Genomic DNA, 24,728 nt, shown 5'->3' on the forward strand with positions numbered 1-24,728 from the left:
TAGATTTCTGCCTGCCTCTGGTTACAACCAGTACATAGCCTTGTTTTATGTGTATTTCTATTAAAGACACCTTCTTTACTCTCTACGGTTGACTCATTGACACTGAACTCATGGTCAACAGCACCATAACTTGTGTCTGAAAGAAGCTTGTCTGATACACGTGTTTTCTCTGTATGGGACATCACGGCCTTCTTGTGCTTAGGAACAAACACCAACACTCTGCTTGGGGGACATTAATTTTTTTTTTTATTTTCATAGGTTATTGGGGAACAGGTGGCATTTGGTTACATGAGTCAGTTCTTTAGTGGTGATTTGTGAGATTTTGGTGCACTCATCACCTGGGAAGCATACACTGAACCCAGTTTGTAGTCTTTTATCCCTCACCCCCTTCCCACTCTTTCTCCCTGAGTCCCCAAAGTCCATTGTGTCATTCTTATGCCTTTGCATCCTCATAGCTTAGCTCTCACTTATGAGTGAGAACAGACAATGTTTGGTTTTCCATTCCTGAGTTACTTCACTTAGAATAATAGTCTCCAGTCTCATCCAGGTTGCTTCGAATATGCTTAGGGGACATTTTAAACAGTGAAATCACCAACACAAAGCACAAAAGCATGAAAAATGTGGCACCAAATAGCCTGCGAAAAGGACACTTGTTTGCATTGTGGGAGCTGAAGCCAGCAGGCTGAGCGGGCCTTGTTCCACCCCCGCTGGGAATGTGCGTGTTGAGCAGCCCTCATTCTTCCCCACTCTGTGTGTGTCCGAGAATGACCCCAAAAGTGCAGCCAGTATTGATTTTGGGGTTACAGATACAATTTCGCAGGTAGGTGAATTTGTACATATGGAATCCATGAATGGTGAGCATGGGCTGCATTTTGCAAGCTCTGTTTGCCCAGTGGTGAGCTGGGTCTCACAGCAACTGGCAGCAAGAGTTGACCAGGCATGAGGATGGTGCAGGGGAGCCATGGAGTGGGGGCCTGAGTTGCTGTGGAGGGTCGAGAGGGCAGGTTGGCTGGTGCCCATCGAGGACTGGGGACCCAGCAGTGCAGCCGCTGCAGGCTCTGGGCTGTGACTTCTGGCTTGCATCAGCACCCAAATCACCACAGATCTTGGACTTCCACCCTCAGTGGGCTGATAATTCAAAATTCACAACTTGGTTTTCCCGTAGAAACCGTGTTATGAGCGGTGGGTTAGTCCTCAGCTTGGGTCACAGAGGCCCATGTCACACCTGGTTAGACAAAAGGGGTCAGTGAGGCATTGGGGGACCCACCACACCTGAAGCCACCCCAGCAAGCCTCCCCCAGGGCTCAGGGCTCAGGCTGTGAGAAGGAGGGGCTCCCTCTGCTCCTCCTGGGGTCCTGAGACTGAGGGGTTCCTCCAGGAATCTCTAGGGAAAGGTGAAGGCAGGAGTACCAGACAGGCAGTGGAAGATGAGGTGGCAGCCAAAGTCAGGGTTTCAGTGGGGATGGGTTACAGGCATCTAGGGCAGGGCGGTGTGGAGTGGATAGGAATACGTGAGGAGGGGCCAAAGAAAGGAAGGTTTCTGCAGCCACAAGCTTCTCTCCGCCTGCTGCCCTGCTTGGCCATGCACATTGTCTAAAGTCACGGCACGGGCAGAGGAGCCCCAGCCTCAGGGCAGCTCCGTAGGAGTTTCCCAGGTTGCAAAGCTGGATCCATGCGAGACCTGAAGCTGAGGCCAAACTCTGCACGGCCTCACTAGCTCTTGCCACTGGAGCTGGACACTATATCGTTGGGATGCCCTCTCCCAGCCGGAGCTGACAGGTGGCTGAACACCCTGCCCCTGCCTCAGACACTCTTGTTTGCCCTGTCCCCACAGGTCTAGCTGCAGTGAGGATGAGGAGTGGTTCAGAAGGAGCATGAGGCACAGCCTGTGAGGTGGGGCCCAGAAGATACTGACTACTCATTAATACCTAACCTTGCTTTGTCTGTATCCACGTAAAGACACCTCGTTTACTCTCTATTGTTGGCTCATGAGCGTTGGACTATAATTCATGCCTGATTGAAGCTTACCTAACCCACGGACGCTCTCTGTAAGGCACAGTGCAGCCTTCTTGCCCTTAGGAACACCCCAAGTTTGACTTGACCCCTCATCCTCTACCTGACCCAGCCTGTTCTGAAAGTAGATAAACAGAGCTCATGGGGAACATTCTTTCTCCAGGAAGATCAAAGGAGGACGAGGGTCCTGGCCAGGCAGTGCTGAGGACTGGCTCCCAGGAGGACTAGGGCCTTCCCTGCACTGGGGAGGAAGGAGGTGTGAGGGTAAAAAGGCCCCAGAGCTGAGCTGGGGAAGGGGGATTCTGAGCCGCTCTATGCATACCAGCTCTGACAGCTGGTGCCTCCGGGGACATCTGCGGCCTGTCCTCCTAGGAAGCTCGGATTCCTGTCTACCTTTGCAGTTTCCTGGGCCCCCAGCTACCTGTGTGGGAGGAAAGGGGTGGCTCATCTGGGAAGCCCTTGTCACTGGGTTATGGTTATCCTCTGGGGAGGGTGAGGTGTTTATTCAGAAGCTGCAGGGAACTGACACCAAAACAGAAGCTCCCTGAACTCATCTCTCCAGAATTCTCCCTTCTGTCTCTTTTAAAGGGTTTAATCTTTACAAGCTCCAAACAGCTTATCCAGTAAAGTCATTCAGCAAAAAATAAATCCTCATTGATAATGGTTTAATTTCCTCCTTCCCTCCCTCAAGGACAAGGATTATCCGGCTAAGGGATCCATTCCCTCCCTCCCTCTCTGTTTTCCCGCATTCAAACATCATTTAATTTACATTTGCTACATGGCAGGGGCTGGGTGCAAGTGGGTTTCTCCCCCAGATAAATGCCTTGACTTATGGATCCCTTCTGCCTAGCTGCCCTGTCTCCCACTGCTGCCCCTCACACATCCCAACTGGGATCATCTTGGACACCTCCCGGAAAGTGCTCCACCCCACTTCCGGCATAGGGCACGCTCTGTCTGGCATGCTCTGGCCCTGGCCATGTGTAGCACCTGCCTTCCTGGTAGCCGGGGCGGCTTCAGGCATTTTTTTTTTTCTCACTGCATGCCACTTCCTTGAAGACTTTTCTCCCATTGCCTCACCAGGCTCAGCCCCTGCCTTTGCGTCAGCAGCCCACTCGGAGGCCTGTTGCCCTGCAGGCTCTGGGGTCTGGGCTTGCTTCTGTGGGATTTCTTGTTTGAACTGGCGTGTGTGTGTGTGTGTGTGTGTGTGTGTGTGTGCGCGCGCGCGCGCGCGCGTGTGCCTGTGCGTGTGCATACTTTCCATCAGTCCTCATTGGAGCTTCCTAGGAGCAAGGATCATTTCTTTTCCTCCCTCTGGACCTTTGATCTATCGTCCTGACTGACTGTCCTGAACTCATGGGTGAAGGGACACCTTGGGCCCCAGGCAGGATTTCTGGGGGAGAAGAATTAGATAGCTGCCCCTTTCCGCACTCCCTGACTTTCTATCATTCTCCCACTGCTACCTGGCTTGCCCAAGGAGGCCACCCCAAATGGGGTTTCAAGGACTCTGATTGGCAGAGAGGAGCTGCTGAACCTAAACAAAACACAGCTCCCCCAAGACAGGGAGATCTCAGCCAGGAGGACTCTGGGATGGTTTTCAAACTATGCAATGACGTGGCCTAGGGATTCCTTGCAGGTGACTGCAGGGCCTGGGGAGTGAGGGTTTGCCTTGTTGGGGTGGGGGAGGCAGGGCCCAGCCCCAAACCTACATCAGTCAAGCAGCTCCTCCAATTTTATTAGGCTATTGTGCTTAGTTGAACTTGAAAAATGTGCTTCTGTGGCCTCAAAGCTTAGAAAACCTTCACCCTATTCTAAACCTACAGCCTTCTATTCCTGCCATACTCACAGCTGTCAACCAGGGGCTGGAGGGTTGGAGGGAGGAGCCCATGCTCGCCTTCTAGAAGCTGGGACCCCAGTGGCCATGTCTCTGCAGGAATCCAGCCTTGAGCCTCTGCTTGCTGCTAGTTGGAGAAGGCAGTGCCCAGGGCTAGCTCAAGGCTGCAAGCGCTCACGGGGGGCCACACTGGAAGGGTGTGGAGAGATGGGACCCTGGCGCTTCCCTGGCCTCAGACCCAGGGGGCTAGGGATCCCAGATGCATGACATACACCAGGAAGTGCCACTTTCTGAAGGAAAGAGCATTTACCTAGGAGTCCAAAGGCACGGGCTCGAGTCCGGCTCCCACTCACCAGCCAAGGGACCCAGTTTACTTACTCACTGTGTAGATGGAGGTGACACCCCACTCCTCCTTCCTCACTGGGTCATACTGTGAAGCTGCCAGTATGCTCTGAAAACTGTTGAGTGCTGTTGACACGCAAGGTGCTGCTGTGGCTCTGGTCACAGTCCCCAGGTGAGGAGGAGGGCCAGGGCTCTCCTGGGGCATTTGGGGCAGCCCTTGGCCTGGTGCTTCTGGGCTGAGCTTGAGAAGAATGGGAGAGTCACCAACTTAGTCGTGGGCAGGGTTCGCTTGGGAGGTCCTGGCCTGTCTTGGTCCATTTTGTGTTGCTATAACAGAGCTCCTGAGGCTGGGCAATTTATTAAAAAAAAAAAAAAAAAAAAGAGGCCGGGTGTGGTGGCTCATGCCTGTAATTCCAGCACCTTGGGAGGCGAAGATGGGCAGATTGCCTGAGCTCAGGAGTTTGCGACCAGCCTGGGCAACACGGTGAAACCCCGTCTCTACTAAAATACAAAAAAATTAGCTGGGCATGGTGGCACGTACCTGTAGTCCCAGCTACTTGGGAGGCTGAGGCAGGAGAATCCCTTGAACCCGGGAAGCAGAGGTTGCAGTGAACCGAGATTGCACCATTGCATTCCAGCCTGGGCAACAGAGTGAGACTCTATCTCAAAAAAAAAAGAGGCTTATTTGGAAGAGGCTTATTTGGCTCAGAATTCTGGTGGCTGGAAGGCTTCAGATTGGGCAGCTGTACTGGTGAAAGACTCAGGCTGCTTCAACTCATGGAGAAAAGAAAGGGGAATGAGTGTGTGCATGGAGATCACATGGAGAGACAGGAAGCAAGAGAGAGAAACTGAGGAAGCAAGACTCTTCTTAGCAACCCTGCTTTTGGGGACTAATCTATTCTCTTGAGAGCCAGAATGCACCAATGAATCTATTCACGAAGGATCTGCCCCATGACCCAAACACCTCCCACTACACCACCACACTGGGGATCAAATTTCAACATGGGTTTTGGCGGGGACAACCCACATCCAAATGGTAGCATGGCCAGACCCACCAACCTGGGCAGTATGTGGGCATCTAGGGTTTTGTCAGGAATGGAATAGGTGGCCCTGGGCCTCCTGAGATGGCTCCAGGGGTTTGGAGGAAGGTGAGCTTTTCTGTTAGGCATAACATTGGACCTTTCAGAGTCAGCCCCAAGACACAAGTCTGTTTATTTCCATTCTTCTAGTCCTGGATGAACTAATTTGCCCACCCTAATCCAGGGCAGGCACAAGACCCAGGTGTCTTCCCAGGGGAAGTGGAACAAGGGTGGCCTGCCTGGTCCAGGACGTCAGCTGAGCAGGAGGCCTGGAAGAGGGGAACTTTTGACTCAGGAGGGCTCACATTAGTGGTAGGCTGGGAAATACCCCACAAGTGATGGAAAAGAAGCAGATGGCAGATCAGGAACTGGATGTGGCAGTTAGGGTGACCTGCAAAGGAATGCAAAAGAACGGGTTTGCAGGTCCCAGGAGGGAGTTGCGGACGTGCAGCTTCCTTCTTAGGCTGTTTTTTCTCCCATCCTCCCTACAGAAGGCCTGTCAGCTTTGCCAAGATCCAGGGGTCTGGAGATCAGTGAGCCGCAAGCCGCACATGCACCCAGGACTGCTGTCTCTGTCAGGCGTCTTTGAAATATCTTTGCATTATACAAGTCATAGGTGCTTGCAGGGGAAAAAAATGCAAACAACAAATGTACGAAGAAAATGAAAGTTCTCTTCCCTGCTCACCAACAGCCTCTGGCCCCTTCTGAAACCAAGCCCAGTAAAAGAATTCCTAACTTGGGAAAGCCAACGACTGGTGTTGAAGTGTCATTCTACCTGCAGGCATGCCTGTTAACGTGCATTGCCAGGTGACAGTCCAAATCACACACCCAGGGTTTAATTTTCCACGAATGTGGGCATCAATGACAGAGATAACCTGAGCAGCAGGTAATCTCAAGCCAGCTCTCTTCAAGTGGGTTGCATTATTTGGTTGCTTACATTTTTGTATGCTGCAAAATTACCTTTCTAGAGGTGCCTGGTTCTGGCTGAAATGGAGTCGAGTTTGGATTAAATGAGCCTAAATCCATCAGTGGAGTTGGATGGGTGACCTGAACCCAGAGATGATCTTCTTGTGTAGGGGGAGGATTGGTGAGAAAGCTGGAGTGAGGACTCTGCAGCAGGAAGTGACCTGAAAGACAAAAGACCATGCTGTCCCGAGGCATCTCTCCCCTGCCGGAAGTCTCTTCCTCTGGGTTAATAAGAACTGGTTGTGGCACTGACTCCATGACCTCTAGGAAGCATTTGAGGAGTGCTCCCCATGTGCTCCTCCAGCCAGCCCTCCATCCCTCTCCTCCTTGCTGGGGAGGCTACCTGAAGCCACCCCTGTGGGCTGCCAGCTGGTCCAGGCAATGCGTGGGAGGAGCGTGAGGTCCCTTTGTCAGCAGCCTGACTGCCTCCTAAAGGACTGGGGGGTGGCAGTGGCTGATTTCTCTCCTGAAGGCTTCCTTGTTCTCATGGACACAGGCAGCCCTCTCCTACAGCTACAGCACACGCCAGGCCATGGAAACCAACCAAGTGGCCATTACTACTCAGTCAAACTCCAACCAATCCAAACCACAGGTGAGGGGGTGGAGGACTCAGAAGAGAGAAACACCGTCCCAGAAAGTGACAAGAACACAGATGCTGTGGTGAAGATCATGGACTTTACCTGAGTTGGGTGAGTCTCCACATCACCACTTACTAGCTGGTAGCTAGTGAGCCCAAAGTGGCTTTGGCTTTGGGCAACATACTTAACCCCTTGAAACTACAGTTTTTCCCTTCCCTTCCCCTCCCCTCCTCTTGTCTTCCCTTTCTTGAGTCTCACTCTGTTGCCCAGGCTGGAGTGCAGTGCCACGATCTCGGCTCACTGCAGGAGGTGATTCTCCTGCCTCAGCCTCCCAAGTAGCTAGGATTACTGGAGGCATGCACCTCCAGGCCCAGATAATTTTTATATTTTTAGTAGAGATGGGGTTTCACCATGTTAGTCAGGCTGGTCTTGAACTCCTAACCTCAGGTGACCCCCCCCCACCCCCACCGCCTTAGCCTCCCAAAGTGCTGGGATTACAGGTGTGAGCCACTGCACCTGGCCTGGATTTCAGTGTTCTTATCTTTAAAATGGGATGGCCGGGCATGATGGCTCACACCTGTAATCCCAACACTTTGGGAGGCTGAGACAGGTGGATCACCTGAGGTCAGGAGTTTGAGACCAGCCTGGCCAACATGGTGAAACCCCGTCTCTTCTAAAAAATGCAAAAAAATTAGTTGGGCATGGTGGCAGGCACCTGTAGTCCCAGCTACTCAGGAGGCTGAGGCAGGAGAATCTCTTGAACCCGGGAGGTAGAAGTTGCAGTGAACTGAGATGGCACCATTGCACTCTAGCCTGGGTGACAGAGTGAGACTCCATCTCAAAAACAAATAAACAAACAAAAATTAAAATAAAATAAATAAATGAAAAATAAAATGGGGCAATAATACTTTGATTGCATTGTTGCTGTGAGGATTAAATCAGTAATGTATGTGAAGGACAGTGTCTGGCCCACAGTAGGAGCTCTCTAGGTGGCATTGTGGAGAGGCAGTGTGTTTAAAGCACAGACTCTGGAGCCAGATGATTTGGGTTAGAATTTTCTTTAGTAGCTGTCTGACCTTGGGCAAGTTATTTTGTGTTTCTGGATAGAATTTTCTTATCTGCAAAATGGGTTCACTGATGTTTCCACAGGGCTGTTAGGATGATCAAGTGGGATAGCACAGGTCAAGGACTTAGATAGTGACTGGCCTTTGTATTAAAAATAAATCAACTGGACTGGTGTGGTGGCTCATGCCTGTAATCCCAGCACTTTGGGAGCCCAAGGCGGGCAGATCATGAGGTCAGGAGATCGAGACCATCCTGGCCAACACGATGAAACCCCGTCTCTACTAAAACACACAAAAAAATTAGCTGGGCGTGATGGCGCACGCCTGTAGTCCCAGCTACTCAGGAGGCTGAGGCAGGGGAATCGCTTGAACCAGGGAGGCAGAGGTTGCAGTGAGCCAAAATCACGCCACTGCATTCCAGCCTGGTGACAGAGTGAGACTCCATCTCAATAAATAAATAAACAAAATAATAATAAATACATCAATATTTTATTAGAACCTTTCTGATGATGGTGAGCATGTGTCTGCTGTACCTGGAGGGCCTGGGGTGTGGTGTGGAGAAGTCAGAGCCTGTGTCCTGGTCTGCAGGAGAGTTTGACCCTATTCTGCCCACACCTGTCTGACTACTTTCTTCCTCAAATTTTTCCAACCTGGATCTTCTAACTTTTTCACCTTCCGTCTCCAGCCACTGTCTGCAATCTCCTCAGACACCTCTTGGTTAGCCCATGGCAGCCCCAGACCCTTGCGGGCAGAGCTGCTGGACTCATTGCTCTGCCTGGGAGGGGCCTGGGCCTGAGTAGCTCAGTGCTGCGCTGCCCTTGCCCTGCGAGCATGTACACTCGCCAGGCAGTCCCGGATGAATCACGCCCCACACCGAGTAGTTAGCCCAACTCGCAACAGAGGCCCTGTGTGCTGCTTTTGTGTGTAGTGTTTCTTTCCATTCCGTGAGTCAGAAAACACCGTCACGCAGCCATGTGATCTCCCTATCTTCTGCCAAGGAGCTATGTGCAAAGGATTGCTGGAAAACCCTCGAGGGATGAGGGAGGGCAGCCGTGACTGCCAAGAGGGAGGCTGAGCTGAGAGAACTGGAGAATGGAAGTCATCTCAGGAAAAGAGCGTTCCGAGGGGCTCTGGTGTGGTGAGACCAGAGACCCGCCCACAAAGGCAGCTGCTGGTGGGTGAAGGGCCCTACCTTGGCCACGTGTGGGTGGGATCTCTACCCCCTTGACCCCTGGAGTATAATCTGATTATTTTGTCTAATTGTAAATGGAAAGCTTGCTTATACAAAATTCCAGATCGATACAGAAAACTATAAAAAAGAAAGGACATATCTCCCACCTGCCACCACCAGATGCTGTATTAATCCAGTGAGACATTTTCCATTTGCCTTTGGGCGTGGACCTGCCAGGCTCCGGTCCATTGAACTCCATTGAGCTCCTAGCTGCAGCCCAGGTCTGTTCCTGCCCCGGTCCTGGGACTCTGTCCTTCCAAACACCACAGGGAGAGGTTCTCATCCCAACTTGGCCATTAGCTTGCTGTGTGCCCTTAGACAAATCACTCTGTCTGAGTCTTATTTGTCTCTTCAGTTAAAAATGAGATAATAGGGCTGGGCACGGTGGCTCACACCTGTAATCCCAGCACTTTGGGAGGCCAAGGCGGGCGAATCACCTGAGGTCAGGAGTTTGAGACCAGCCTGGCCAACATGGCAAAACCCCGTCTCTACTAAAAATACAAAAATTAGCCAGCCATGGTGGTGGACGCCTGTAATCCCAGCTACTTGGGAGGCGGAGGTGTGAGAATTGCTTGAACCCGGGAGGTGGAGGTTGCAGTGAGCCAAGATGGTGCCACTGCATTCCAGCCTGGGCGACAGAGTGAAACTGTTGCAAATAAAATAAAATAAAATAATAAAAAAATGAGATAATAATTGGGCAGACTTGTTGAGAAGGTGGAAGGCATGGGGAGATATGAAAATAACTGCAACATCACAAAAATCTCTTCAATGTATGAGAAGTGCTGGCTTGATGCCCTTTTCCCTGCCTCAGCTCATTTAACCCCAAGGGTGGTGTTGAGCCCAGCTCCTCTGCTCCACCATTGACTTGTCCATGTTGGCCGAAGGCCTTCCCCAGACACCCTAGGATTGGCTTAGGGCAGGGAGGTCTCAGGCTGTGGTTCTGACTGACCACTGAGACCCCATCCCTGAACACTGGCCAAGCCCTGGGGCCGGCACTCACCTGGTTCAGAAGAACTCAAAACCCTGTTTTGTTGCCAGTTTGGAGCCAAAATAACTGTGCCCCCTCCTCCCCCATGCAGGCACTCATCCCCACCATGGCTGGAGTAATAACCAAAGCCGTTCTTGCTCAGAAGCCTTTTCTGATTTCAGAAACCTTTGTAACTTTCCCAACTTGTTGTGTTATCTTTAGATTGTAGTGATTCTTGTAAAACAAAGGGTTTGCGTACTTACCCCAAGGATAATTAATGACACTATAAGAACGTTAGTTCAGCTGTTTGCAAACCACTCCTTGTATTCATTTCAGTAACACACCTATGAATTTATATATTGGAAATCATCGCCATTCCCGCCTTCTAGAAGAGTAAAAGGGGGCTCAGGGGACAAACGTCTCTTAGTATACAATGAGTATTCTGTGAGCCTATTTCCCATGCCTGCCTCCTGGCTCTGGGAGTGCGGAGCCAGCTGCAGGCTCTGTTCCCACTGGCCCACACCCGTCTTCAGGCAGGAAGTCCCCAGGACCAGCACAGCCCCTCCCCACACAGCGGCCTTAGCAGGGAGGGGTTCAGCCCCTCCAGGCTGATCCAGGGCTCAGGGCCCAGGTGGGTCGCTGCAGCGAATCCCCTCATTGGGCTCATCATCACCCGTGCTCATAGACTGTCCCCATGTAGATTCCGCAGATGGTGAACCTTCAGCTACCAGTGTGTGCGTCCAAGACTTTTCCACAAAAACAAGACATCGCAGAAACTCTCCCCGCCCAGGTTGTGTGTCTGGGCTCCAGCCTCAGTTCCCTCAATCTGAGGTCCTGCTCCCATTGTGTGTCCCTTGAACCCTGTCCAGGAGATGGACAGAGGCTGCCTGCCTGCTCCCGTTTCCACACCCTGGCCCCAGGATGCATCCTTCTGCCTACTGGACATTAGCTGCCACTTCCACCTGCAGCAAGGAGCCACGGTCACAAACCTTAGGCCCTGGGCCCTGCCTGATGGGTGAGACCATCCTTGTTGGTGGGGTCTCAGACTTGGTACCCGTCTCTGGTCCATCCTGATTTACTTGAAGGACACAGCCATGCCTCCCTACAGGCAGCAGCCGAGCAAGGACTCTAACCCAGGTCCTTTCGTGCCAGACCCCACATTACCTTGTTCATACTGTGGCAAGGACTGTGGAGCCAGGGTCCCTCAAAGCCAGCCTTGGGGTAGAGAAGAGAGGTGAGCTATGAAGAGGTGAGACAGCAGGCAGGTCCTGTGGAAGGCAGGAGGCCTCACAGTGGGAGAAGGTCAGTGAGGGTGATGGAGAAGTGGATTTGGGGAATCAACCAGGAGGGGCCCTGTGGGGCTCTCAGACCTATGGCCACTCTGGGGCTGCCTAGAGACTGTCATAATAACCACAGTCATTATGATGATGGTAGGTAGTATTTAGTGAGCATTTACTATATGCTGAGTATTGGATTACCTGCCTTCCTGTATTACCTTATTTTATTCTCATGGTAACCTGCTGAAATAGGAGCTATTATTATCTTCTGCTTTACAGGGGAGGCCGCTGACCCTTGGGGAGGCTAAACAACCTGCCCACAGGCATTCTCTCATAAGCAGATCTGAGATGAAAGTCCAGGCTGCCTGATTCCGGGCCCCACTCTCTCTGACTTCTAGAATTATTTGCTTCTTGGAAAAAAACAAAACCACCCTGCCCAGATGGTGGGGAGTTGGGGGTGTCAGGAGTTTCAGTTTTGTAGAGGAAAGATAAGTGCATTTATGTGGTTTCCACACAGAGGCATACCTTTGATTGTAGGGTCTGGAGAGGGGCCCTTTTGGAGAAGGTCATCTTCCCTGAATGAAGACGCAGCTCTGGTTGGAGGGGCCTCTGAGAAGCAGCCAAATCAGTCCTGCTAACCCACAGGCCAGTGAGCCATGGCCAGACCACTCTCCCATTCACAGAAAGTGGGTCTGTGCCTGGGATACACGGAAGAATAAGTTCAGTACATTCAAGGCCAGGCATGGTGGCTCATGCTTGTAATCCCAGCACTTTGGCAGGCCGAGGCAGGAGGATTGCTTGGGGTATACCCGTGGGCTGCCAGCTGGTCCAAGCAATGGGTGAGAAGGTTCAAGACCAGCCTAGGCAACAAAGCAAGACCTCCAGCTCTAAAATAACAATAATAATGATAAATAAATAAATTCAATACATATGCCAGGCCTTGTTGGTTAGAGACCAATGCTTAAGAGCCTGCGGAAGAACAGCTTACGACCACTCTGTGGTTTTTCCTCCCCATTTGGCTGCCTGAGCGGTGCAGTGGGAGCTGCAGATCAGGCTTCAGTAGGCAACAGCTGAATAGGCGAGAGGGTATCTGCACACCTTCTGGCCAGTCTTGACCTCGGGTTGGGTAGCAGCGAGCCTTGGGGTTTTCATGAACAGGTGACTGGGCCAGGTGCAGTGACTCATGCCTGTAATCCCAGCACTTTGGTTGGCTGAGGTGAGAGGATCGCTTGAGGTCAGGAGTTTTGAGACCAACCTGGGCAACATAGCGAGACGCCATCTGTATTTAAAGAAAAAGAGAGAGAGAGAGAGAGAGAGAGAGAACAGGTGGCTTAAGATAGGCAGGTGAGGAGCGGGGCCCTCAGTGTGAGCCAGTTATTGTCCATGCAGCCCTTTGGCCAGCCCTAGCTCTGCTGCAGTGTCTGGATCCAAGGGCTTCCCTCATGTGCTGGCTCAGCCTGGCTCCTCTGCTCCTTCACAGGTCCGCGGATCAAAACTCTTTTTTCGTATTTCCTTGAACAAACCATAGGTTGTAAAACTGCTGCAAACAATTATTGTGAAGCCAGAGGGAGAAAATATTAAGATATGTGGTGCTTTAACTTTTTGACTGGACTCACAGTAAGAAATGTATTTTATATTGTAATCAAGTGTGTACACACACACACACACACATATACACTCAGATACACACAACTAAAACAGAAATTTTCTTGAAACAATTATTAATTGTACTATATGCAATACACTTCATGTTTTGTATTTCATTCAATTTCATTTAAATAAAATGTGATTTGAGATGCTAGTTAGTGGGTCATGAAATCAATTTAGAGACTCTCAAACTACATTAAAAAACACCAGGTTAGCTGAAGATGCTGATAGCTAGAATAACGAACAGACTGAATAGTTCATCTGTCTTGACTCCCCCTGGGACCTGAATTTTCTGAGGTCAGAGGCTGAGCCCTCCCTGTAAGTCCTAATGTGGGATCCTGCACCCATTAACCTTCTGAAAATACAGACACTATGGCAAACACCAGGACTCCAAGCAGAAAGGGGGTCCAGGGGAGAAGGCAGGAGGTGCCTGTCTTCAGAGTTAACATTTCGTTGGGATTTATTTAGCCATAAAATGACTTCCAGGGAACAGGAAACAGGTTGAATGAGGCTAGAGAACAAGATGAGGACATTAGAGGCAAAACACTCCCCAAAGCTGTTCTGAGCATCCTGAGCATTGCTGTGTGATCAGCACAAAGAGGAAGGAATAGCGAATGGTTAAGAGGATAGACTCAGGAGCCAGCTGGCCTTGGGTGGAACCTGCCTTGCTATGCCTCAATTTCCTTATTCCTATAAAATGGCGATGTAGTACTATTCAATTCTTAAGAGTTGTTACCTAATCAGTATGCCAGTTATCAATGCTAAAAAAATAAAGCAGCTGAACTGCCCACACAAATCAGGCTCCAACTCTTGCCAGCGACGGTCAAGATTTTGGGGCTCCAAGTATGTGGGCAGGTCCGTGGCTTTCTTCCACATTGTGCAGAAAGGGGAGAATGTGGGTTTCTGGGCGCAGCTTTGCAATTCCAGCAAGCCTGGCATATGTCTTAGATGAATGAATAAAGGATGAATGGGTTCTCTTTTCTCTGTCCCCACTGACATTGCTTAGCTGAGGGCAGGGCCTCAGCTACTAGACTCTCTATTCCATACTCCACACTCTTGCTAAAATGATCTTTCTAAAGTGCAAATTTGAGAATGTTTCTTTCTAGGAGGAATCCCTATATTATGCCCCTGCTTAAACCCTTGGAAGGCTTTCAATGGTCTATGATGCATTCCAAACTCCCTTCTAGGCAAAGCCTCAGGCCATCTCTCAAACCCACTCTTCTTCTTTTTTATTTATTTATTTTTTATTATACTTTAAGTTCTAAGGTACATGTGCACAACGTGCAGGTTTGCTACATAGGTATACATGTACCATATTGGTTTGCTGCACCCATCAACTTGTCATTTACATTCGGTATATCTCCTAATGCTATCCCTCCCCCAGCCCCCAACCCCCTGACAGGCCCTGGTGTGTGATGTTCCCCCGCCCTGTGTCCAAGTGTTCTCATTGTTGAGTTCCCACCTATGAGTGAGAACATGCGGTGTTTGGTTTTCTGTCCTTGTGATAGTTTGCTGAGAATGATGGTTTCCAGCTTCATCCATGTCCCTGCAAAGGACATGAACTCATTCTTTTTCATGGCTGCATAGTATTCCATGGTGTATATGTGCCACATTTTCTTTAACCAGTCTATCATTGATGGACATTTGGGTTGGCTCCAAGTCTTTGCTATTGTGAATAGTGCCACAATAAACATACGTGTGCATGTGTCTTTATAGTAGCATGATTTATAATCCTTTGGGTATATACCCAGTAATGAGATTGCTGGGTCAAATGGTCTTTCAAGTTCTAGATCCTTGAGGAATTGCCACACTGTCTTCCACAATGGTTGAACTGATTTACACCAACAGTGTAAAAGCATTCCTATTTCTCCACATCCTCTCCAGCATCTCATCTGTTGTTTCCTGACTTTTTAATGATCGCCATACTAACTGGCGTGAGATGGTATCTCATTGTGGTTTTGATTTGCATTTCTCTAATGACCAGTGATGATGAGCATTTTTTCCTGCGTGTTGGCCACATAAATGTCTTCTTTTGAGACGTATCTGTTCCATATCCTTTGCCCACTTTTTGATGGGGTTTTTTTTTTCTCATAAATTTGTTTAAGTTCTTTGTAGATTCTGGATATTAGCCCATTGTCAGATGGGTAGATTGCAAAAATTTTCTCCCATTCTGTAGGTTGCCTGTTCACTCAGATGGTAGTTTCTTTTGCTGTGCAGAAGCTCTTTAGTTTAATTAGATCCCATTTGTCTATTTTGGCTTTTGTTGCCATTGCTTTTGGTGTTTTAGTCATGAAATCCTTGCCCATGCCTATATCCTGAATGGTATTGCCTAGGTTTTCTTCTAGGGTTTTTATGGTTTTAGGCCTTACATTTAAGTCTTTAATCCATCTTGAATTAATTTTTGTGTAAGGTGTAAGGAAAGGATCCAGTTTCAGCTTTGTACATATGATTAGCCAGTTTTCCCAGCACCATTTATTAAATAGGGAATCCTTTCCCCATTTCTTTTTTATTTTTCAGGTTTGTTAAAGATCAGACGGTTGTAGATGTGTGGTGTTATTTCTGAGGCTTCTGTTCTGTTCCACTGGTCTCAGGCCCATTCTTCACCACCCTCTTCACACCCTAGCTTCTGGTCCTACCAAATAATTTGCATTCTCTGACGGTGCAATATAATCTCAAGTCTCCATGGTTTTGCCCATGTCATTCCCTGCACCTTGCCTGTCACAGCCCTGCCAGCTGGTCTGGCCCCATTATAAAGACTTATGACGCTCAGTGGAAGCACTGTGTCCTCTGACCTGTAGAGCCGGGAGCTTCTCCTCTGTGCTCCCACTTGCTCTGACATTATTCTGAGGAGGAAAGCTGAAAGGCTTGCCCGGCTTCTGGACTCTGGCCACTAGAGAGCAGTAGAGGGTAGACAAGCATCTGGCCTGGGAAACCCCAGACCTGCTCTTCTTGCTCTGTCCTTCCAGACACCGCCACATCTCACTCCCGGAATCTGCACAGCCCCTTTGTGGGTCTCTTGGCATCTGCCACGCCATCTTCACTTTTATGCGCAGAGCTGGCCAACCAAGGGCACTGTTAAAAAATAAAATTTCAACATAGTGAAACAAGTAATTGGCTTTCCTTTTTTTTTTTTTTTTTTTTGAGACAGGGTCTTGCCCTGTCATCCAGGCTGGAGTTGCAGTGGTGCGATCTCGGCTCACCGCAGCCTTGACCTCCCAGGCTCAAGCGATCCTCCCACCTTAGCCTCCAGAGTAGCTGGGACTACAGATGCGCACCATAAAGCTGAGCTATTTCTTTTGTAAAAGAAGGGGTTACACCATGTTGCCCAGGCTGGTCTTGTGCTCAAGTGATCTGCCAGCCTTGGCTTCTCAAAGTGCTGGAATTACAGGCATGAGCCACCACACCCAACCTTTTTTTTTTTTTTAATTGAGACAAAGTCTCACTCTGTTGTCCAGGCTGCAGTGCAATGGGGCAATCATAGCTCACTACAGTCTTGAACTCCTGGGCTTAAGTGATCCTCTTGCCTCAGCCTCCTGAGTAGCTGGGACTGCGGGCATGCACCACTGTGCCTAGCCCTACTTGGCTTTTATTAGTGATCCAGGAATCAGACAGCATATCTTCCAAAATAGAGGGAGTTCCACTCGGCACGACAGATCCATTGTAAGGTAGCTTGAGCAGGAACAAGGAAACAGAATACCACAAAAAAGCAGATGAGTTAACGTCAGGTTGCTTTCCTTATAAGGGTTAAAGGAAAGAGGACTATCTTATCGTGCCAGCTCAGGTTTACTGGGCCCTTTCCAATTGGTTGCCATAAATCTCCTATTTTTAGGAAAACATGATCTGTTAGGGGATTTTCCTGCTTCATAAAGTTTCAGTTTGATTATGCAGCACTTAGCACGAGTGACTCCATTTTGGCTTGGTCTGTTGGGGCCTAGTGTAGGACCTCAGTCCAAAACAATGGGCTCCTATAAATTTTATTTAACATCACCACGGAGTGGGGCAGTGAGTGAGAGGGGTGAAGTGTGACAACCTATAGATTGTATCTGTGAGTGCTCTTGCTGCAAACGGCAGGAACTCACTCTGGCTAACTCAAGCTAAGAACGAGCTTATGAGAAAGAATATTGGATGGTTTACAGGATTGATTCGTGTCTGGCAAACCAGGTTCGGGAAAATGGGCAGGGAACACCCTGAAGGCCAGGTAGCTAAGAACCTAGTCACAGCCGCTCAGCCTCGGGGTCAGGATGCCTGTGTGAATTCTGCTACCAGTTACCATGGACTGCTGGACTCTCGACCCCACTGCCATGGCTTGACCTCCCAGACTCAAGCAATCCTTCCACCTTAGTGTTCTGAGTAGCTGGGACTACAGGTGTGCACCGTCTCTAATTACCTGTCTCTCCCTCAAGAGTCAAAGCCCCCAGCCTGAGCATCCCACGGGCTGAGCCTGGGTCAAACATGGGCCCTAGAAGACTGTCTGCTTCCTGTCGAGACCACCCCCTGGAGGACTCCTCCACATAGGAAGGACTCAAATGTAAGCAGACAAAAATCAACAGATGTCCTCTGCGGGATTCACCGGTTTCCTCTCTAGAATGAGCTCATTCTGGAAGGCACTCAGGAGTTCATCTGAGTATCCAAGAAGTCCTTTTGCTGCTTTGTTGGGGTGAGGGGAGTGAAGACAGAGAGGTGTGTCAGTTGCCCCGTCATCTCCAGCACTGGTTCCCGCAGAAGTCACCAGTATCCACCCAACAGAACCAGGATGAATGGTTTGAGTGTGGTCATTCCTCACAGAAGGAATGGGCTGGGGAGCAGGAAGGGGAAAGCAAGGCAGCTGCAGTTTTATAATGTGCCTGCCCAGGACAGGCGGCCATCCATCAGGGAGAAGGAGGACCTCTGTGGAAACAGAGTATGAAGCAATCTGTTTCACTTGAAGTGATTGTGTGAACTGATATAGTTGTTTGTCATAAATGTTGGCTATGTATGGAGTTATTCTGACCCTTAGAAAACACTCCATCCAGGCGTAGTGGCTCACGCCTGTAATCCCAGCTACTCCGGAAGCTGAGGTGGGAGGATCGCTTGAGCCCAGGAGGTCGAGGCTGCAGTGAGCTGAGATCGCATCACTGAGCTCTAGCCTGGGTGACAGAGTGAACCCCTGTCTCAGGAAAAAAAAGAAAGAAAAAAGGAAACACTCCAACGCTTCAGGAAACTAAGTCCATTGTTTCATAGACTTTCCTCCACTGGAAGCACACAGATGCTGGGGTCTCAGGCACTGCTGCTGGGGAAGGGAGCCTTAGCTCTGCTCAAGAGCAGAATGGCTCCAGGGACAGGAGAGGGAAGCAGAACGAGAGAGCCACACTTTTCCCTAAAACTGTGGTTTAGAAACTGGACTGCACAGACCCCAGTCACCTCTGGGACCCCAGGCATGCATAGCCCTAGGTAGAGGTCTGTCAGATAAAACAGAGGACACTCAGTTACATTTGAAAATCAGATAAAATTTTAGTATAAATAGGTCCCATGTAATATTTGGGATCTTTACACATTTTTTATTTTTTTAAAAATTGAAACTTAACTGGATGTCCTGTGTGACATTGTGATATAATAAGAAATAGATATTTGGTCTTCATCCCCAGTTCCTGGACAGAGCTCCTAAGCACTTGTAATTTCCTGAGTGACTGGGGAGATAGGAGCATCTCTTGTACTATTTGGTCTCAGTCTCCAGTTCCTAAAACAAAGCTTCTAAGACCCTTGAAATCTCCAGAGTGATGAGTGTCTTTTTATATGTTAATGAGATAACTGGTGGCTGGGGGCCTCTAGATAGCTTCAGGTTGGGAGACAGTCACCAGAAAGACCAGAGAATGACTAGAGTTTTCAGTTCTCTCCCAAATCTGGGAAGGGGTTAGGGGCTGGAGATTGAGTTAGTTAACAATGGTCAATAATTTTTACCAATCATGCCTGCATAGTGGATCTCCCATAAAAACCCTAGAGAACACAGCTCAGAGAACTTCCGGTTGGCAAATGCATCAGCACGCTGGGAGGGTGGTGCACCCCAATTCCATGGAATAGAAGCTCCTGTGCTTGGGACCCTGGACCTCCCTGTATGTACAGTACCTTCCCTCCTTTTTTTGAGATGGGGTCTTGCTATGTTTCCCAGGCTGGTTTTGAACTCCTGGCCTCAGGTATGCTTCTGCCTCAGCCTCCTGAGTAGCTGAGATGATATATACAGTACCTCTTCATCTGGCTGTTCATTTGTATCCTTTATAATATCCTTTATAATAAATCCATTATAGTAAGTAAAGTGTTTCCCTGAGTTCTGTGGGCCATGATAGCAAATTATTGAACCTGAGGAAGGGGTCATGGGAACTCCTGATTTGCAGCCAAGTGTGGATAACCTAGGGACCCAGTACTTGCGATTGGTGTCGGAAGTGGGCGCAGTCTTGTGGGACTGAGTGCTTAGCCTGTGGGGTCTGTGTTGACTGCGTAGTGTCAGAATTGAATTAAATTGTAGGACACTCGGTGTCCTCAGAGACTTAGAGAATTGCTTGGTGTGAAAACCTCACACGTTTGATGTCAGAAGTGTTATGTGAGTAGAGAAACTGTTCTATTTTTCCTTTGTTCCTGTATTTTTATTTGCTAAACATGGCAACCTTACTTGAGTATGCTGCTTTTTAAAAATTTATTTTGGGGCTTAGGCTGGGTGTGGTGGCTCATGCCTGTAATCCCAGCACTCTGGGAAGCTAAGGTGGGTGGATCATTTGAGGTCAGGAGTTTGAAACCAGCCTGACCAACATGGCAAAACCCCATTTCTACTAAAAATACAAAAAAAATTAGCCGGGCGTGGTGGTGGACGCCTGTAATCCCAGCTACTTGTGAGGCGGAGGTGTGAGAATTGCTTGAACCCGGGAGGTGGAGGTTGCAGTGAGGCTAGATTGCACCACCACACTCCAGCCTGGGCAACAGAGTGAGACTCTGTCTAAAAAAAAAAAAAAAAAAAGAGAAGAAAAAAATTTCTTTCGGGTCCTAGGTTAGATTTTCTTGGAATAAGAAAGGTGTTTTGTTTTGCTTTGTTTGTTTTATAAAAATGCAGCTATGCATGGAAGGAAAGGTTTGTACTGCCAAAAAAAATAAAAGTTTTGAAAGTCATGCTGACTTTTCATTTTTTTCCTCTTTACATGGAAAAACTTAGCTGTAATGAATATTTAATTAATTCTTTCACCCTGTACATTTTTTTTTTTTTTTGAGATGGAGTCTTGCTCTGTTGCACCGGCTGGAGTGCAGTGGTGAGATCTCAGCTCACTGCAACCTCTGCCTCCTGGGTTCAAGCAATTCTCCTGCCTCAACCTCCTGAGTAGCTGGGATTACAGGCACATGCCATCACACCCAGCTAATTTTTGTATCTTTGTATTTTATAGAGACCATGTTGGTCAGGTGGTCTTGAACCCCTGACCTAAGTGATCCACCCTCCTCGGCCTCCCAAAATGCTGGGATTGTAGGCATGAGCCACCTCACCCGGCCCACCCTTTACATATTTTACAGTGCCTCTATCACAGCCCAGGCACTGTTGCAGATGATGGGGACAAAATGAAGTGAAGAAGGCAAAGCTGTTGCTGTCTGACAGGTCTCTCCAATTTATTGGGGCAGACAGACCACATGGAGAGAAGAGATCATGTGTGGTTGGAGGTGCAAGGTGCAGAGAGGAAGTTGGCACCACTTGGATCTTGGCAGAGCAGGGAAGAATGAAGTGAGGCTGTAAGTGATGGGAGCCAGATGTTGACACGGACACTCTGGTTTCAGTGGGTCATTGGTCAAAGCTGATGTACAGGCAACCGGAAGAGACTGGTCCTCTTGGACTTCTTCCCTTACTATATTGTTTAATCCTGTCTTGGTTAAGATTGATTAAATAGTAAAGCAACTATTTTCTGTTTGGTTGACTTCAAATATGTGGCATGGGTGAGCCATTTCCTCAGGGCATCTTCAGGATCTGACTGAAGGATCCAGCCCAAGGCCCTGTGGGTTTGAGGGGAGGAGAGGACACAGTCCAGGAGCCACCTTTACCTGTGGACTTGAGGCTCCTTCCAGCCCTGACCAATGACAGGAGCATGGCAGAGGGAAACCAAGAGATTCTGAAGGAGGAGGAATGTTCAAAGGGCAAAAAGCTCTCAATTTTATTAACTCTTGAATAAACAACTCGTCCTTAGGGACAGATGAGTAACCCAGGAGGAACCCAACTCTATGAAGGGCAGAGTTGCATTCTATTGCCCTAGGAAACAACAAGGGAAAATGAGATTCCTCTGTTATCCTGAACATGGATTATTCTTGTCCCCCCTCCCTTTTTTTAAATCATTAGAGGGATTTATTTCCTTTCCGGAAGAGTCACTCTTCTGCGGTCCTTCCACACCCAGCTTTGGACTGGGCCACCTGGCAAGGGTGTGAAGTGGACTTGTGGTTGATGATCTAAGGTTCTCCAGCCATACACATGTTTGGGTCCAGCCATTGGCACCAGGTGACTCAGCCTTTGAGCCTGGCCACGCTTGGTCAGGAACACGTGAGATCCCCAGCATGTGACCAAGCCTCAAGCATTCATGTGGGCTGTGGACACGGAGGCTTAGAGACAGCATAGTGGGAGCCCAGAACCACAACCAGTAGCCCAAGGATTAGTGAGCCAACTGCAAGTGTGCGGAACACAAGAGCATCATTTTCTCCTGCTCCTCCAGGGAGCTAGAAATAGAACTCTGCCCTTTGTCCTTGAGGAGCTGAGGCAACTGCCTGGCATGGCGTGGGTGTTGGTGACCACAGGCCCCTTTGTTCCTCTCTCCCACTCACCCTCCCGCTCCTTCCTCGCTCCTGTGACCCTCGGTCCCTGGCCCGTGGAGACTGTGGGCAGGGCTCAGGGCCACTGGGTGGTGTCTGGGTGAAGGTGGCTGCTTAGCACTGGCACATGTGGAGAATGTGGTGGTGAGCTCCCTCTCAGCTGCCGTTTCCTGGCCGGCATTAGCGTTGCCACCCAAAGCCTTCCCAAGCGTGGCTGACCCTGACCTGGGGCATTCAGAAGTGTCTGGCTTCTTCCTGGCAGTAACTTCGGTGTCAGACACGGGCCTCTAGGGTATTGTTTTTCAAATGTCATTAACTGGCCGGGCACAGTGGCTCATGTCTGTAATCCCAGCACTTTGGGAGACTGAGGCAAATGGATCAATTGAGGTCAGGAGTTCGAGACCAGCCTGACCAACATGGTGAAACCCCATCTCTACTAAAAATACAAAAATTAGCCGGGGGTGGTGGCACGTGCCTGTGATCCCAGCTACTTGGGAGGCTGAAGCAGGAGAATCGCTTGAACCTGGGCGGTGGAGGTAGCAGTGCACCAAGATTGCGCCACTGCATGCCAGCCTGCGCAACGAGAGCGAAACTTCATCTCAACAACAACAACAAAAAAAGTCATTAACTGAAACCCATAGTGAAAAACACTTGTACTTTACTTTGCATCCCGTGCACACATTATATACTGGATGTTTCCACTGAACGGCCTCCTCCCTGGCTCCCCTGCTCTCAGTTTCCCTTGGGTTCAGCGGCAGGGCAGGCCTGGCAGGACTGCAGAGACAGGGAGAAGGGGGAAGTACTTACTCCCCAGTGGGGTTGCCACAGGCTAGCTGGTCCCTCACCTGATGATCCCCGCTCTTTCCACATCATTCTCTGTCTCCAAGTTCTGAAAACACTTTCCTCCTTCAAGCCTTCAAGCCTAAAGGTGATAAGTGAGCCCCACTGTCCCTTATGATTTACCCACACCCTGTCCCATCTTTGTAAACAGCCTCTATCAAATGCTCCGAGAAATTATTCAATTAGAATGTGCTGTTTTTCTATTTCAGGGGCATTGGCTCAAGTTTATCCATGTATTATGTGTGTGTACATACACCCATACAACACACATACATATACACATATATGTATATATATACACACCAATGATTCATGAAGTAATACTCACCCTTACTCGTCTGTGAGACACTCTAATATGTTATTCTTTTTTCTTTTTTGAGACAGTTTCATTTTTGTTGCCCAGGTTTGAGTGCAATGGCGTGATCTCAGGTCACTGCAACCTCTGCCTCCCAGGGTTCAAGTGATTCTCCTGCCTCAGCCTCCTGAGTAGCTGGGATTACAGGCGCCCGTTACCATGCCCAGCTAATTTTTGTATTTTTAGTAGAGACGGGGTTTCACCATGTTGGCCAGGCTGGTCTTGAACTCTTGACCTAAGGAGATCCACTCACCTCAACTTCCCGAAGTTCTGGGATTATAGGCGTGAGTCACCATGCCTTGCCCTCTGTTATTGTATTCTGTGGACTTTTTAAAGAATGCTCACCCCACCTACTAAAGTGACTCCATGACCCACTTATGGGTCTTGATCCACAGTCTGAAGGGCATTGCATTAGGGCCAGCCCAGGGCGAGTGGCCTTAGCTGGGCTGGCTATAGCGTGTAGCAGAGGTCAGTATGGAAAATGGCCCTAGGTGCATTCTGGGGCTCCCCTTGGGGAAGGTTCCTCTTGTGGGGGGTTCCCTAGAGGGTATTTCCTCCCTGTAGTCATCACATTCCAGGGGCCAGTTTTCCACTTTGTAGGCCTAGAAATCCAAGTTGGTTAGGAGCCTTGGAGGTGGCTGAGTTGAGGGGTGACTCACACTGCAGCCCAAGTGTAAATATCAGAGTGCTGATTCAGTCGCTCACGGTGAGGATCCAGCTACCCAGTGGGCTGTGTTCACCCATCAGCACCTGTTCTCCAGTAGGGAATTCTACCCAGAAGTCCAAACTGTCATCAGAAGGTGCTTGGCCAGCACAGTCCTGGAGCAAGGGAGTTAGGAGAAGCCCGGAGATACCTGCTGCGCACCTGGGAGGCCTGAGCATCTCTCCGGGATACTCTCGAAATGCCTGCCTCCCGGCCTCCTTGGTCCTCACCACCTGTGCTGACCCACCTCTTTGGCTGACCTGTCAAATCTCTTGTTCTGTCCTCATCTATGTCTGCACAGTTGAAGCTTTCTATTTCAAGTTCTGGTGGTGGGCGATGGGGCTGGTTGTGTGCATGGTGGCCTCCCATGGCTGCCCTGCAGGTGAGGTGGGTGGCACATGTGTTGGGGGAGTAGCAGGAGCTCCCTCTGATTTACCTTCAGGTAGTCCAGAGATGTGTGGCCAGGGTCTACTCATCAGCAATAACCATACGCGGCTCTTTATTGAGTGCTTTGTAGAATGCTGGGTACAGTGCTAAGCACTTCACTGGCACTCTCATTTCTTTCCCATAACCATCTGATGAAATAGTACTACTTTCCCTGTTTTGTGCATAAAGAGATAAAGGCTTAGAGAGGTCAAGTGGCTTGGCCGAGGTCACTGAGTAAGCCAGTCGACAGGTGGCCCTAGAAACTGTCTGTGAATATATATGTGTGCTCTGAAAGGACAGGGACCATGCCTCCCCATAAGCTCTGACTCCCTAAGGGTAGGACTGTTCCCCCCTCAGTAGCTTCCCTCCCCACCTTGCTAGCCTCCCTGAAGTGCCCAGGGCAACATGTGGCACAGCAGGGGTGCTCTGTTGCATGCTTGCTGACAGTCACGGACAGGGGACCAGCCTCTTGCCAAAGAGAGAAGGCCTGTGGGAGCCTCAGACCACAGAGGAGTGACTGCGTGGATGCACCAGACCATGGCTGGGTGACTCAGCGGCTGGCTGACAGATGGATGAATGGACGTCAGTCCTATGGTGTGGCCCTTCC

General features: G+C 49.5%; 2 long non-coding RNA genes across 2 annotated transcripts, besides 5 other annotated features; both read right to left on the bottom strand.

The window, feature by feature from the left end:
* Window positions 1-223: 223 nt before the first annotated feature.
* Window positions 224-4,506, bottom strand: LOC124904506 (uncharacterized). Its single transcript, XR_007066870.1, has 2 exons — window positions 4,223-4,506; window positions 224-1,225 (listed from the first exon to the last, which is right to left on the bottom strand). It is a non-coding gene; the product is annotated as an uncharacterized LOC124904506 (long non-coding RNA).
* Window positions 551-1,065: an enhancer, noted in NCBI's record as "H3K4me1 hESC enhancer chr1:212635334-212635848 (GRCh37/hg19 assembly coordinates)". NCBI's record gives its function as "activates a minimal SCP1, AML or CMV promoter by ChIP-STARR-seq in naive H9 embryonic stem cells {active_cell/tissue: H9 hESC(naive)}" and the evidence as "EXISTENCE:reporter gene assay evidence [ECO:0000049][PMID:30033119]".
* Window positions 4,507-5,374: 868 nt separating the features above from the next.
* LINC02771 (long intergenic non-protein coding RNA 2771) lies at window positions 5,375-11,437 on the bottom strand. Its single transcript, NR_183725.1, has 3 exons — window positions 11,236-11,437; window positions 6,226-6,392; window positions 5,375-5,656 (listed from the first exon to the last, which is right to left on the bottom strand). It is a non-coding gene; the product is annotated as a long intergenic non-protein coding RNA 2771 (long non-coding RNA).
* Window positions 6,506-6,800: a silencer, noted in NCBI's record as "tiled region #5085; HepG2 Repressive non-DNase unmatched - State 10:DNaseD, and K562 Repressive DNase matched - State 8:EnhW". NCBI's record gives its function as "represses a minimal TATA promoter and a strong SV40 promoter by Sharpr-MPRA in HepG2 and K562 cells {active_cell/tissue: HepG2 | K562}" and the evidence as "EXISTENCE:reporter gene assay evidence [ECO:0000049][PMID:27701403]".
* Window positions 10,141-10,641: an enhancer, noted in NCBI's record as "H3K4me1 hESC enhancer chr1:212644924-212645424 (GRCh37/hg19 assembly coordinates)". NCBI's record gives its function as "activates a minimal SCP1, AML or CMV promoter by ChIP-STARR-seq in naive H9 embryonic stem cells {active_cell/tissue: H9 hESC(naive)}" and the evidence as "EXISTENCE:reporter gene assay evidence [ECO:0000049][PMID:30033119]".
* Window positions 10,642-11,142: an enhancer, noted in NCBI's record as "H3K4me1 hESC enhancer chr1:212645425-212645925 (GRCh37/hg19 assembly coordinates)". NCBI's record gives its function as "activates a minimal SCP1, AML or CMV promoter by ChIP-STARR-seq in naive H9 embryonic stem cells {active_cell/tissue: H9 hESC(naive)}" and the evidence as "EXISTENCE:reporter gene assay evidence [ECO:0000049][PMID:30033119]".
* Window positions 21,429-21,929: an enhancer, noted in NCBI's record as "H3K4me1 hESC enhancer chr1:212656212-212656712 (GRCh37/hg19 assembly coordinates)". NCBI's record gives its function as "activates a minimal SCP1, AML or CMV promoter by ChIP-STARR-seq in naive H9 embryonic stem cells {active_cell/tissue: H9 hESC(naive)}" and the evidence as "EXISTENCE:reporter gene assay evidence [ECO:0000049][PMID:30033119]".

This window comes from Homo sapiens, chromosome 1 (assembly GCF_000001405.40).
Source record: "Homo sapiens chromosome 1, GRCh38.p14 Primary Assembly".
NCBI lineage: Eukaryota > Metazoa > Chordata > Mammalia > Primates > Hominidae > Homo > Homo sapiens.